Consider the following 15,272-nt stretch of genomic DNA (forward strand, 5'->3'; position numbering starts at 1 on the left):
GACTTCCACCCTCCCAAGGGGCACCCCCAAAGAGTGACCAGTCCTGGGCCCATGTGTGAAGGGTATTTTTGCTGCTACTGTGGACAGATGCTGTCTTCGGCCCCAAGCCAGGCAAACCCAGAATGCCAGAGTGCAGTGCGGGAGGCGGTCCTCCCCCAGGGAGGGATGGGGCTGGGGACAAAAGCCCTCCACAGGGGCAACTCAGAGGCCTGCCCTCCCGGCTCAGGCTCCCGAGACAGAGCCCAGGGCCAGGCGGTGGCTGACTCCACTAGCGGAGTGCCCTGGACTGGCCGAGGCCCTCCCTCCCGGGGCCACTCACATGAATCTTTGCTTCAGGGCCGGCTTCTGGGGAGACCCAGAGCACGACAGGAGCTCATAGACAGGCCTCTGCGGGTGCGTGGGTTACAATGGCGTCTGCGGTCCTGGAACTCAGAGGCAGAGGAGGCGGGACCCTGTCATCCCAATCACTGTGATTCAGCAGCATGGGAAGCCAAGGGGCACTGAGGCTAGAAGGACCCAGAGCTGAGGGACACTGGGCTGGCCTGCAGGGGAGAGGCTCTGATTTTAAGGAGAAAGGAGATAAGGATGGGGCCCAGGGCAAGGGGTGCCATCTACAGAGCAGCTCCCAGGCCTGCAGAAGCTCCCTGGTCTGTGTCACTGTGGGCTCCCTGGCAGTGGCATTCCCAGCACCCCTCCCGCTGCCACTTCCCCACTTGGGGCTGGACCACCGGCCTGCCTGCAGGGGAGCTTGTGGGGTCTCAGCCCAACAGCCTGGAGCCCAGGGGCAGGCAGCAGCATGCTCTGCTGACCCGGCAGCCACATGGGCCCCCGGAAGCTGCCTCCGAGGCAAGCTTGCACCAGCAGGATGTCAGGGCTGCCCTGGAGCCAACACTGGGGACCGAAGGGAAGGACACAGGCGTAGGCAGGGGCAGCAATTGGACCCTGTGCGTACCTGACCCTATGCGAGCTCTGCAGCTCAAAGGGACCAGAGCTGGCCTGAGTTGGGCAGAATGGGCTGGACCTTATGCTCTGGATCGATGGGGCTGACCCACGGAAGCCAGGACCTTCGGGCCAACCCTGAAGGGACCACGGCTGAGGACTGTGTGCCCTGGAGGGAGTTCTGAGATGGGGGGTGTAGGGGTGGGGAACCCACAGGCAGGCACTGCCTCAGGGCCTCCCTCCTGTCCCATGGCCCCCAGGTGTCCTGCGGCCCCACACTCAGCCTCCTTCTGGGGGTCTGGGTGGCTGCACCTTCCATGGTGCCAGCCAGGCCTTGTGCCCATCTCCACCCCCTTGCCCTCACCTGCCCCAACCCACCACGCCTTGGCGGCCTCCTCTCGGGGCTTCCTGGCCTCCACCAAGCTGCACCCACCTCCGCCCTCATCACCCAGGAGGCCTTCCCCGGCCTGGCCCGACGCAGGCTCCACAGTCTCTCACCAGCCTCCCAGCTGCTGGCAGTGAAATTCACAGGAGCTCCCTCTGGGGCAAGGGTGCCTCCGCCTCCTCCATGGCAGCGTCCCCAGCCCTGCACGGGGCCCCCAGTGAACACATGGGCTGAATAAATGAGTGAGGGCATGAGGGACGCCTGAACACACGAATGAGAGAATGGCACTGGGGGTCCGTGAACAGCTTGTTGCATTGAAGATGGTGAAGGATTTTCATCCTGGTCCAAGCATGGAGGCCTCTCTAGAAACCGTCCCTTCCAGCTCCATGAGGGGTGAACTCTGAGCTCAGAGGCCATGGGGCCAAGTGCAGAAAATGGCTTTGAACTCTGGAGGAAGGAAAGAAGCCACCCTCCAGGAAGGAGTAAGAACCGCTCTGGAACATTCCCAGGAAAGGTCGCTGGGGGGCAGACCTGAGAGGTTCCCCGGACTCGGCGGACCCAGATCCCCCGCAGGGCAGCCCCTGGTGAGTCAGGGCCTGAGTCAGCGCCCTCCGCCTTCCCAGAGGCCCCGCCAGGACCTGCAGCCCTGGGCGCCCCAGCAGCCCGGCCCTGCTCAGCGCAGCTCTGGGTTGGAACTTGCACTTTCCAGTAACTCGGACCTCCCCCCGGCCGCCTTCCCAGGCGCCACCGGGCCCAGCAGATCGTCACCGTCCAGGTGCAGGGTGGGGGTGTGTGAAAGTCAGGCCTGGGACCCGGGCAAGTTGCTGCCGTGCCCTCTGGCTTCCCGGGGGACATCCTTCACCTTTGTGCGCCCAAACCCTCTGTGCTGCGGTTCCAACCCCCCTCCACATTCCCGCCTGCTCCTCCGGGCCTGCCCGTTCCCTCTGCCTTCCTGGGAACCTCCCTCTATCTCCGCATCTTCCGCCGCTCCCTTCCCTGCGGCAGCCGGCGGGCTCCGACTCTCGCTCTTCAGGGAACACCGCCCTTGGCGCCACGCCCACCTCCACCCGCGGCCACCTTCCCTCCCTCCCACCGCCAGACCTTCAAGACAGGATCTACCCCGGGCGGCCCCCAGCACAGGTCTCAGCCCCCTCCAGACTGGGGTTGTCGCCACCCTCCACTGAAATGGCGGCAGCCAGCTCCCTCCTGCCGCAGCCGGTGGCAGCCAGCTCCAGGCCTGGCCGGCCCCGCCCACCCTGTGTCTCGAGTGGCACCCACGGCGCTGTCCCTGTCCCGCCTGTCTTCTCGTGACCTCATCCGGCTCCAGACTCTCACATGTTTACGCCTTCAGCCCTGCCCAGCCCTGGACCCCAAGTCCCCTCCAATATTTCTTTTTCCTTTCTTGTATTTTTATTTATTTATTTATTTATTTATTGAGACAGTTTCGCTCTTGTCGCCCAGGCTGGAGTGCAGTGGCGCGATCTCGGCTCACCGCAACCTCCGTCTCCCCGGTTCAAGCGATTCTCCTGCCTCAGCCTCCCAAGTAGCTGGGATTACAGGCGTGTGCCACCACGCCCGGCGAATGTTGTATTTTCAGTAGAGACGGGGTTTCAGCATGTTGGTCAAGCTGGTCTCTAACTCTTGATCTCAAGTGAACCACCAGCCTCAGCCTCCCAAAGTGCTGGGATTACAGGCGTGAGCCACCGCGCACGGCTATCCCTTCCAATATTTCCGAGGCCAGCTGCCCAGAGAAGGAGGGCTGGGTGGAGAGGACCGTGCCAGCAGCAGTAGGCCTGGGCCAGGAGACAGGCACGCACCTCCGCGGTCTCTGGCGAGTCTATGTCCACACAGCGGCAGGACCTCCACCCCCAGCCACCTGCAGCAGCCCCACATCTCCACCGGGTCACCCTGCTGACATCAAGAGTGCCTCCCGCAATGTCCCAACCCATGAGGGCTTCTTGGAGCTGAACCAGGGCACCGGCCACTTCTGGAGGGGGGCTGCTCGTGACTTCCGACCTCTGTCTCGCTAGTTGGCATGAGAAGACTGGACTCCTTCTGCAGGCCTCAGGGCAGAGGCAGATGTCAGCCCCCAGGGATGTCACTGCCAGAACCCCAGATGCCCCAAGCCATCTGGACTCCCCCTGTGCAGTATCTCTGCTACAATAAAATGTACCCAGATCTGAGTCCTCTCACCTGGGCGACTGCCAATGTCCCCTGCGGCCCTATACCCCGCCCCCAGGAGCCCAGAGGATCTTTCTTTTTAAAGATATTCAGACCTCACAGATAAGTCTGCCCTGACCAGCCCCTCCCCAGTTCCCAGGCCCTATCCTGACAACGGCCACAACTTCAGAGCAGCTGAAACCTGCTGTGAGTGAAAAATGAGAAGCTGTTGTTTTAATTTTACTTTCTCTGATTACTAATGAGGTTATTTCTTCTCTGCATAAAAACTTCATTCGTGTTTAATTGGATTTTTGTCTTTTTGTTAATGTATAGGAGCTCCTTTTGTTCTTACATATATTATGAATTCAAATTCTTATAGATAAAGATTAATGTTTAGAGGCAAAATCATGGTTCTCATGCAAATACAAATTGAACACACCTAAGATTTTATTTAACTCGTTAATAAGGGAACCAGTAAGGTTAAAACCAGTTCAAAGGAGAATTGGAAAGACAGATGTGTAGGCAACAAGGAAAGCTGAAACAGCTTTGCTTATTGGTGCAAAGTGCTTAATATCATAGAGAGCAATAAAGTGTACTGTTTGGGATTATCTTTTCCATGGGACAGAATTCAGTTCAGTCTCTATGGAGCAAAATTCATTTGCATTCTATGGGCAGGATCATTGGCCTTATAATTGGTTTTCTATAAGTTAATTTCTCCCCTGACAGAGTTGTAAAATAGCTGAGTCCATAGCATAGCAGTTGAAGAAGGACCCCATCGAATGAGATCATTCCCAGCGGGGTCACTAGACAGATGCCACTTAGCACACCACTGAAAGGACACCCGCCTTAAGCCCATTTCCAAGTCTATGACATTTTTTTGCTCTATGTCACTTGTCTTTTCACTTTGTTGTCTTTTGTCCTGAAGTGATGTTATCATTAACCAATGGTTTCATCTGTGATTTGTGCTTTCTGTATCTTGTTTAAGACATCTTTGCAACCCATATAGAAACACACTCAATTTTTTTTTGCAAGTTGACTTAAAGTATTGCTTTTCGGCTGAGTGCGGTGGCTCATGCCTGTAATCCCAGCACTTTGGGAGGCCGAGGCGGGCGGATAACTTGAAGTCAGGAGTTTGAGACCAGCCTGGCCAACAAGGTGAAACCCTGTCTCTACTAAAAATACAAAAATTAGCCAGGCGTGGTGGTAGGCACCTGTAATCCCAGCTACTCAGGAGGCTGAGGCAGGAGAATTGCTGGAACCCGGGAGGCAGATGTTGCAGTGAGCTGAGATTGTGCCACTGCACTCCAGCCGGGCAACAGAGTGTGACTCCGTCTCAAAAAAAAAGAAAAAAGAAAAAGAAAAAAGTATTGCTTTTCTTATGCATTTGTTTGTTTGTTTGTTTGCTTTTGTTTTTTTTTTTTTGGAAATGAAATCAACCAGGCTGGAGTGCAGTGGTATGATCTTGGCTCAGTACAACCTCTGCCTCCCGGGTTCTAGTGATTCTCCTGCCGCAGCCTCCTGAGTAGCTGGGATTACAGGTGCCTGCCACCATGCCCGGCTAATTTTTGTATTTTTAGTAGAGACGGGGTTTCACCATGTTGGCAAGGGTGGTCTCTCAAACTCCTGACCTCAGGTGATCTGCCTTGGCCTCCCAAAGTGCTGGGATTACAGGCAGAGCCACCGCGCCCGGCCTAATTCCTGTATACATCTTATAATCTAGCAGGGCAAGTTCTCACCATCTTCTTCTTCTGCTTCCAAATAGTCCCGACTATTCTTGGACATTTCCATTCCCATATGAATTACAGAAGCAGCTTGTCACAGAAATCCCATCTCTCTCTTTTGTCCTTGAGAGGTTTAGTGTCAGGTTTCTTGTATGTTTTAGCCCTACCATAAATGGGAGATTTAAGTTTTGTTACATCTTCTAACTTGCAATTGCTGGTAAATAGGAACACTGCTTATGACTGATGAGGATCTGATGTCAATCTGATGAATTTTCTCTAGAACCAGTAGCTTTTATTTATTAGTAGATTTATGGATTTTTTTTTTTTACTCGTAGCTTTAGATTTTTTTCTCTCTATCCTAGATGTTCTGAAATTCCATTATGAGGTACCTTCTAGTGGAATGTTGAGATTTTAATTTGTGTTCTTTCATTTGTCCTACTTGGCATTCACTGAGCACTTCCAATCTGAGGACTCACCTCTTCCTTCAGTTCTAGGGGATTCCTGTTTAATGTATCACTAAATATTAATTATCTTTCCTTCTCACTAATGTCTACTCTTGGGCCTCTGATTAGATAAATGAGGCAGCCTCTGGATTTGCACTCCCTCTTTTTAAAGAAGCTACTCGCTGTTGTGTCATATAATTCCCCTTTATTGGACACTTCATTTTTTTCTTCCAAACCTTTCAAAAATTTTCCTTAGCCTTTGACTTTTAGAAATTTGACTGTGATTTGCCTAGGAGTGATTTTACTTGCGTTTACTCTGCTTGGGGTTTGTTGAGCTTTTTGGATCTGCAAGTTAATCCTTTCCATTAATACTGAGAAGTTTTCAACCATTATTTACTCAAATTTATTCTGCCTCTATGTCTCTCTCCTCTCCTTCTGGGACTCCAATTACATGTATTTGTGATGCTTGGTACTGTCCAAGAGGACACCGCCATTCTCTTCTTTTTTCTCCATTTTTTTTTTTTTTTTTTTGAGGCAGAGTCTCACTCTGTCACCCAGGCTGAAGTGCAATGGCACAATCTTGGCTCACTGCAACCTCCATCTCCTGAGTTCAAGTAATTCTCCTGCGTCAGCCTCCCAAGTAGCTGGGATTACAGGCACCTGCCACCACATCTGGCTCATTTTTGTATTTTTAGTAGAGACGGGGTTTTGGCATATTGGCCAGGCTGGTCTCAAACTTCTGACTTCAGGTGACCTACCCGCCTCCGCCTCCCAAAGTGCTGGGATTATAGGCATGAGCCACCGTGCCCAGCCTTTTTACTCCAATTCTATTTTCCTCTTTTCTTTGAGTTAAATATTTTCTGCTGATTTGTCTTCACGTTACTGATCCTTTGTTTTTCTGCCATCTCCAGAACTGGAGCCCGTCTAATGAATTTTTAAAATTTCATTATTGTCCTTTTCAGCTCTATAATTCTCACTAATGTTTCCATTTGTCTGTGCAAATTCTCTCTTCACTCATTGATATCATATTTTTATTTAATTCCTTGAACATATTTTCCCATGAACCTATTTTTCTTTAATTCTTCAAACATATATATAACAGATACTTTGAAGTCTGTAACTGCTAAATCTAAATTCTGGGCCCAGAGATTACAACTGTTAGCTTCCTTTATGAAACACGTTTTCCTGTTTCTTCATCTGGTAATTTTCAGTTGAAAACTGGGTATTGTAGCTAATATATCATAGCAGCTTTGGAATCAGGAGTGGAATCAGGGAAAACCATCCAGGGCCAGAGCACTCCAGGAATGACAGGTGTGGCAGGGTAGACAACTGAACCATCTCAGAGTTCATCAGAGCTTTCACACTGCCACTTTCCCTGTCCAGACAGTTGCCCTCACTATTCTCCTCCCCAAATTTGTCTCATTATGCTAGACTTGGCTTAAGAATCACCCCCTTAGGGAAGTCTTTCCAATGACCCTGACCAGGTTAGGACCCCTTGTCAAACACATTTATAAGTATTTTCTACAACTACATCAATTATAAACTTGTTTGTATAGTTTCTTCTTTAATGTCTATCTCCTGCACTCTACTGGAAAGGAAATGAGAGCTAGGACAGACTGTATGTTGTTACCACAGGCCTGAGGCACAGAGGAGCTCAATAAATATTTGTTTAATGAATTAATGTGGCCCACTTTGCCTTGAGGACATTTTCAGAATTTGCTGTCTCACCAGCAAACAAAAGAATGTTACATTTTCAGAATTTTGCTGTCTCACCAGCAAACATAAGAATGTTCATTCCCTGAACACTTACTGGTACTTATAATTTTTTACAAGCATTTTTAATGATCTTTTTATAAGCTTTTCCAATCTAATAGCTGAAAATTTTATCTTAGTCTAATTTGGATCCTTTGAAATGGAACATTTTTCATAGTTATATTGGCAATTTGAAGTTTCTCTTCTGTAAATTTCCTTCCCATATCCTTTGCAAATATTTTATCTTATTTACTTACAAAGAGACTTTTGTATGTTACTGATATGATCTGGTTCTGTGTCCCCACCCAAATCTCATCTTGAATTGTAATCCAAACTGTAATACCCATGTGGTGGGGGAGGAATCTCGTGGGAGGTGATTGGATCATGGGGGTGGTTCCCCCGTGCTGTTCTCATGATACTGAGTGAGTTCTCGCGAGATCTGATGGTTTTATAAAAGGCTCTTTTCCCTTCGCTCTGCACTTCTCTCTCCTGCTGCCTTGTGAAGGAGGTGCCTGCTTCCCCTTTGCCTTCCGTCATGACTGTAAGTTTCCTGAGGCCTCCCCAGCCATGTGGAACTTGAGTCAATTAAACCTCTTTCCTTTATAAATTACCTAGTCTTGGGCAGGCACAGTGGCTCACGCCTATAATCCCAGCACTTTGGGAGGCCGAGGTGGGTGGATCACTTGAGTTCAGGAGTTTGAGACCAGCCTGGCCAACATGGTGAAACCCCATCTCTACTAAAAAGTGCAAAAATTAGCTGGGCATGGTGGCACGTGCCTGTAATCCCAGCTATTCAGGAGACTGAGGCAGGAGAATCGCTTGAACCTGGGAGGCAGAGTTTGCAGTGAGTCGAGATCGCATCACTGCACTCCTGCCTGGGCAAAAAGTGAGACTCCATCTCAAATAAATAAATAGATAAATAAAATAAATTACATAGTTTTGGGTATGTCTTTATAGCAGTGTGAAAACGGACTAATACACTTATGTTAGAAGGATTTTGTCCAGCACATAGTTTTTCCCGGTTTGTTGTTTGCCTTTTCACTCTGCTTATACTGTTTCCTCCCACACATGGAAACAAAACCGTATATATATTCTCCATTCTTTTCTTTGTGGCCCTGATGTGAGTCTCACTGCTTAGGAAGATATTTCTCAACCTCAAAATTAGGTAAATATTTATGTATACTTTATCCTCGTGTATTTATGGTTTCATTTTTTTTTTTGCCTTAAGGTTCTTTTTTTATTTATTTATTTTTTTGTTACCTTAAGATTCTTAACCCATCTCAAATTTATTTTGGTACAAGAAGAGAGACATGGATCTAATTTCATTTCATCTTTCTCAATGGTTGCCTGTTGCTCCATCCATCCCTTATTTAAAAAAAAAAAAATGTGTACCCAAACAAGCTGGGCACAGTGGCACATGCCTGTAGTCCCAACCACTTAGGAAGCCAAGGTGGGAGGATCACTTGAGCCCAGAAATTCAAGACCAGCCTTGGCAATATAGCAAGATCCCATCTCTAAAACATATCCCATACCTTTACCTCTTTCTACATTTTCTATTCTGTCTGTTGATCTACTTATTCCAGTGACAGCCCCATAAGTTTTTGAAAATGTTTGCTTTATAATTTGACTATCTGATATTAAATCCCACTAGAAATTATTTATTTAGCTAATATTTATTGAGTCCTTATATTGATCCCAACACTGTTTAGGTGCTGCGGGTACAGCAGCGAACAATGCAGACAAGAATTCTGTTTTTGTGGAACTTACATTCTGTTCAGATACCTATTGCTCATTCCTTCAAAATCTGGTGAAGAGTGAGTGGCAAGTACTCTTCAATGCCAAAGGGTGGGAGATCAACCCTGTCATGCGGTACTGTGTCCCCCATACTAAGAATACAAAGGTCCAGGAACCAAGGGAAAGGCTTAAGTCCAGGAGGTGAGACTGACTTCTCTCACCAGTCTCACATCCTTTGACTTTGTTAAGTTCAAGGTTCCGGTTCCCACAGGGGGATTCTTCCACCAAGCAATAAACTAGAGTCAACTGATCTTGAGGCCTCAATGACCTCTTGATCATGTTGGCTTCTTCATGCCAGTGGACCAACAGTGAAAGAAAGGAGTCACCATCCTGGCAGAGTCATTGACCCTGACCTCAAGAGAAGCTCGGCTTCGGGGCAAGGAGGAATCAGTCTCAGAACCAGATAATTCACTGCAGCGCCTCTTGGCACTTCCAAGGTGGTCATAGCGGGGACCTGGCAATGGCAGCAACCACAGCCAGCAAAAGCAAATGCAGATGAGGGCTCAGACCCTCCAAAGAGGAAGGCGAGGGCCCTGCCACTGCCACACAGCCTAGGCCCATGGAAGTGCTCATCTGGAATTGTGGTGGAGGATTGAGATGAGGTTATCGATCACGACCTCAGACCAGCTGCAGCAGTGGAGACTATAGCTTGTTCCACTAATAATCGTGTTTTAAGAACTTACAGATCTTGCTGCTGGCTGCCACCTTGAAGGGAACTCTGTGGCAGACTAGACATCATCAAAGACTCACATGCACATGTGAGGGAGGCAAGGGGTGGACTACACCAGGCCCCTCTTGTGCTCCACTTCAAGGTCCTCTCAACCCCAACTCCAGCCATTCCCACCACAGCCGGTCTTACAGTGGCTTCATCCAGCTTCATGTGGGTGCCAGCAGCCAGACAGTGCCTTGCCTTGGGCCCATGCTGGAGATCTCTTGCTTCCTGTCCAGGTGCTTCTCTGAATATGCGACTTAGTGGTCCTGGTGGAGCCCTCTGCAGTCACACTCGTGCAACATGGGAATGCTGGAAGTTAATGTCTACAGAACCACCTTGACTGGTGGCAAGTTGAGCTGATGGAGAAATGCTCTCTTTCTTCTCACAGGTGGTCAGTTCTGAGATATATTTCATGAGATCCCCCAGAAACCCCCGTCAGGAGCAGGTATGAGCCTCCTGCAGCTGTGACTGACTCAGTGAAACGTCCTTGTATTGGTTTTCCCAGGAATCTCATTTCCAGCTGAAATGTCTGCAGACAAGTCTTTGTCTCAAGCTTTGCTTCCAAGGAAACCAGACTATGGTACGCGCCATTGTGGAAAGACAGAGTACAAAAAAATGAACTCACAAATTTAAATTAACTATAATAAGTGTTATGGAGAAATAATACAGGGTGATGTAATGGGAGTATAACTGTGAATCTGTGCCATCTAATATGGTAGCCACTAGCCACGTGTTAGTATTTAAATATAAATGCAGGCTGGGCGCGGGGCAGTGGCTCACACCTGTAATCCCAACAGTTTGGGAGGCCAAGGTAGGTGAATCATTTGAGGTCAGGAGTTCAAGACCAGCCTGGCCAACATGGTGAAACCCCATCTCTACTAAAAATAAAAAAATTAGCTGGGTGGTGGTGACGCGCACCTGTAATCCCAGCCACTTGGGAGGTTGAGGCAGGAGAATCACTTGAGCCTGGGAGGCGGAGGTTGCGGTGAGCCAAGATCACACCACTGCACTCCAGTCTGGGCAACAGAGTGAGACCCTGTCTCAAAAATAAATAAATATAAATGCAAATTAATTAAAATTAAATGAAATTTAAAATTCAGCTCCTGGGTCACACGAGCCACATTTCAAGTATTTAACAGTCCCATGCATTTAGTAGCTGTCTCACTAGAAAGTCCAGATATGGAACATTTCAAGCACACAGAAATGTCTGTTGGACAGTACTGCTCTGATTTAGCCAATGCCTGCTGCTTTGTACTAGATTGTAAGCACAGAATAACAGAGTCGATATCTGTCTAATTTTACTTTCTGTCTCTAGAAAGTAGCACAGACACCAGCACAGAAGCAGACAGTAATCAAGTTTACAGAAAGAAGGCAGGAAGGGAGAGAGAGAGAGACAGGAGAGATGAAGAAGGAGGAGAAGAAAGGAGGAAGGGAAGGAAGGAGGAAAAGGAGGGGAAGGGAAGGGAAGAGAAGGGAAGGGAAGGGAAGAAAGGAAGGAAGAAAAGGAGGGAGAGAGGGAGGGAATAAGGCAGAAAGGAAGCCCCCAGCCCATCCACATGGAGCAGTTTGCAGTTTGGGACCTCAGGCCTGGCGAACAGAAGTACAGAGCACAGGTCAAAACAGCCTGGGTGTGGAGGGAGGGAGACTCCAGGATGCTAGCGTTTACTAAGCACTTACTATGTGCCCGGCACCGTCCTAATTCCTAATTCCCTGCAGTTTCCACATTACACCCTACGATTGTTATCCGATTTCACACAGAAGGAAACTGAGGCTGGAGAGGTGAAACAGCTTGTCTAGGCACACGGGACCATGAGTAGCAAGCCAGGGTCAAGCCAGGCAGGCGGCTCCAGGGCTGGTTCCTTCCCCTCGCACCACTGAGGTCAAAGGTGGGAGGATGCCGTGAAACAGAGGCCGAGTGTCCACACTCCCTTCCTTCTCTCCTGGGCCCGGAAACCTCTAAGACTTTGCCAATACCCTCTGGTCAGCCCCCACCAGCCCTGGCAGCTGCCCACTGAGCCAGCCCCTCTGCCCAAGGCCCCTCCCTGGGGCGATGGCAGCCAAGGGGGCAAGTCACATGGCTGCCAGCTGGAGCCCAGGCGGCCGATCCACACAGGAGCCCTGTCCGTGATGTCAGCACCACCAAAGCATCCTCATTAACCGCCCCCTGGGTGACGCAGCCCAGCTTTTCTGCGTGGGATGGGTGGGGGACTCACTGAGACCCAGGTGTTCGCAAGAAGCCAGGATGGAAAGTATGACTCGCTCCTTCCCAAACATGGGATGGCTTTTCCATTGCTAATATCCGAGGAATCCGGTGAAGTAGTGGAAAGACCGAGAAGGCGGGAGACTGGTTCTCACCCTGGCCCATCCTGGCTTTAGACCAGAAGCCCAGAGCCTCAGTCTCCCCTTCTGTCCACCAGAAACCACAGCCCTGTCCAGCTCCGACTCTCCAAGGTGCCCAGGTGTCAGTGAGGCTGACAACACAGCAGTCACCTCGGGGCTGCAGCCTTTTAAGCTTTTGTTTGTTTTCCAAGCATGTCTTTGGGAGTGAAGATCCATCAATCATGACATAAATTTCATTTCAGAAGTTATATTTTACTAGTAGGAGTACAAAGGACTCAAGAATTCAGAACTGGATCTCCCTCCCAGACACCCTCAGGATGTCCCAGCCTTGCCTCTGGAACAGCCAGACTTCCAGCAAAATGAGGACCCGGAAGCTGTGCTGCGGCCACCAGTACTGACTGTGCTTCAGGCTTGCTTGCTCCTCACCCACCCTGGGAGGTTGGTACTGCTGTTATTTCCATTTTACAGCGATTTACCTCCCTGCCAAAATTAGACCAACTCTTCACCATCACTTCCTCTAGGAAGCCATCCCTGACTCCCAAGTCTGAGCCAATTCCCTTCCCAGGTGTCCTCCAGACCCTAGAGTGCACTATGCAGTGTGTCCTGCCACATCAAGGCTTCCTCTCCTCTCCTGGTTTTGCCCACTCTGAGAGCAGCAGACCTGGCAGGTAGGGCCCAGCCGCCACTCAGCCAGCCCCTGATAGGTGCACCCCATATTCCTCCTGCCCTGATGTTAGGGGGCCATGGTGAGGACCTGATGCCATGCAGCTCACAGGCCTCCAGCTTTTGGGGCCAGAATCAACCTGCCCATCTCTTGTGCAACCAGCTTCTCCTTAAAGGCACTCAAATCTTGGGACTGAGAAATTAGTGGCCTCCCAACCTGCGACTCCTCAGGAGTTCAAGGCAGGCTTTTTTTTTTTTTTTTTTTTCTTTTAACTCAACTCACCCTCTTCCCCCGTTTCATTTTCCCACCCTGACATTTCCTTTAGCTGGACCAACTTCTATATTTTATTTTAATGTTGGTGTTTCTAGTCCTGCTGGCTACCCATGAGGCAGAATGTCTGTAAATGCAAAGAAATAGGACAATTTGCCCAAGGAAAGGATTTCTTTAAAGTGAATTCTGAGTGTCCTTCCTCTTTCAGAATGTTCCTTCTCCCTAAGTGCTCCCTCCTCTGGAATGCTCCCTCTCCCTGGAGTGCTCCCTCTCCCTGCAGTGCACCCTGTACCCTCTTGCTCCCTCTGCCTGGAGTGTTCTCTCTCCCTGAGTGCTCCCTCTCTCTGAGTGCTCCGTCTCCCTGAGTGCTCACTCTCCCTTGGGTGCTCCCTCTCCCTGAGTGCTCCCTCTCCCTGCAGTGCACCCTGAACCCTCTTGCTCCCTCTCCCTGGTGTGTTCTCTCTCTCTGCGTGCTCCTGCTCCCTGAGTGCACCCTCTCCCTGTAGTGCTCCCTCTCCCTGCAGTGCGCCCTGCACCCTCTTGCTCCCTCTCCCTGGAGTGTTCTCGCTGAGTGCTCCCTCTCCCTGAGTGCTCCCTCTCCCTTGGGTGCTCCCTCTCCCTGAGTGCTCCCTCTCCCTGCAGTGCACGCTGCACCCTCTTGCTCCCTCTCCCTGGATTGTTCTCTCTCTCTGAGTGCTCCTGCTCCCTGAGTGCACCTTCTCCCCATAGTGCTCCCTCTCCCTGCAGTGCACCCTGCACCCTCTTGCTCTCTCTCCCTGGAGTGTTCTCTCTCTCTGAGTGCTCCTGCTTCCTGAGTGCACCCTCTCCCTGCAGTGCTCCTTCTGCCTGGAATGCTCCCTCTGCCTGGAATGCTCCCTCTGCCTGCAACTTTCTGCCCAAAGTGCTCTCCACTCTCTTCTCCTGTTGAGAAGCTGCTCATACTCCTTGAGGCTCAGCTCAGGCGACCGCCTCCCAGGAAGGCTTCCTGGACTCCTCCATCGCCTCCTCTGTTCTCCCATGCACCATGCCCACCCCCTCATGCTTCCTTTCTCACCACATTCACCATCTGTGTCCTTATCTTCCCTCCTCACCTCTCCTGCCTCTAGCCAGGCTCTGAGCTCCCAAATGGCAGACCAGGGTCTCATGCCTTTGGGGAGGCAGGGGTCTGTCCCAGTGCCTAGCCCAAAGGAGGCCTCCGTGAGTCGGCTGCTGAAAGCCAATAATCCCAGGCACCCTGGCTGGGAAGGATCCAGCCCTGTACACCATCCCCATCCTTGAAAGAGTGATCTTATTCATGTATATCTGGAGAAGCTGGAAGGATGCTTAGAGAGCGTCTCTACAACCTCCTCTTTTAGCTCTGGTGAAACTGAGGCCCAGACAGGGAGCATCTTGCCCAAGATCGCCTTCTCTGAACCTCTTCCTCCTGTCCTGAGCCCTTGCCATGACAGAGCTGAGCTCCCCAGCACCTTGGCAGAAATGAACCTGTGTGCACGCTCCCCACCCACACAGGTGTGCGTGTGCGCAGGGACCCTCACAGCCACTGCCTCTGCAAGATGGGCAGGCAGTGCTCACAGACCCCTAATCAGGTGAGGATACCGAGTCTCTGGAGGACAAGTGATGGGTCGCCAGTCAGCTGCGGGGCGGGGACATCAGACTCTGGGTTGTGGCTCTGTCACCTATCACAAATGTGCCCAATCCAAATTTACAGAAGTTGCTGGAATCACCTGGTCAGGCACATGTACATAAAAATCAGCTGCAGCTGCCTACCTGGCACGTGTGCTTTTTCTGTCTTGTCTGTTTAAACCATGTCTGAGCAGGTGGGGAGGGGTGCCGCAGGACACACATGTGGGCCTGGCGCCTTTCTGGGCTCAGTTGAGCACATTGTAGTTTAGCAGCTCTTGGTGAGGTCCCTGTCCTTTCTCTTTGCACATCCACTTACGGCCCCGGAAGACCCTGTTGACAAGCTGTTGTCCCTGTGACCGGGAAACCCAGTGGCAGGGACTGTGGCACAGCACAGAACAGTACCATGCAGTTTTTAAAAGGGACATTGGTAAGAGGTTGATGACAAATGTTATTTTCCAGGAAAAAGTCA

The 15,272-nt window shown here is 50.5% G+C and overlaps 1 long non-coding RNA gene across 1 annotated transcript, besides 2 other annotated features; it reads left to right on the forward strand.

Annotated features, from left to right (window-relative positions):
- Positions 1–1,869: 1,869 nt before the first annotated feature.
- On the forward strand, positions 1,870–3,787 carry LOC124905134 (uncharacterized). Its single transcript, XR_007068136.1, has 2 exons — positions 1,870–2,099; positions 2,786–3,787. It is a non-coding gene; the product is annotated as an uncharacterized LOC124905134 (long non-coding RNA).
- Positions 1,972–2,161: a silencer, noted in NCBI's record as "silent region_13892". NCBI's record gives its function as "represses an Ori minimal core promoter by ATAC-STARR-seq in GM12878 lymphoblastoid cells {active_cell/tissue: GM12878}" and the evidence as "EXISTENCE:reporter gene assay evidence [ECO:0000049][PMID:35858748]".
- Positions 2,312–2,401: a silencer, noted in NCBI's record as "silent region_13893". NCBI's record gives its function as "represses an Ori minimal core promoter by ATAC-STARR-seq in GM12878 lymphoblastoid cells {active_cell/tissue: GM12878}" and the evidence as "EXISTENCE:reporter gene assay evidence [ECO:0000049][PMID:35858748]".
- Positions 3,788–15,272: the final 11,485 nt, after the last annotated feature.

The sequence above is a fragment of the Homo sapiens genome, chromosome 22 (assembly GCF_000001405.40).
Source record: "Homo sapiens chromosome 22, GRCh38.p14 Primary Assembly".
Classification (NCBI taxonomy): domain Eukaryota; kingdom Metazoa; phylum Chordata; class Mammalia; order Primates; family Hominidae; genus Homo; species Homo sapiens.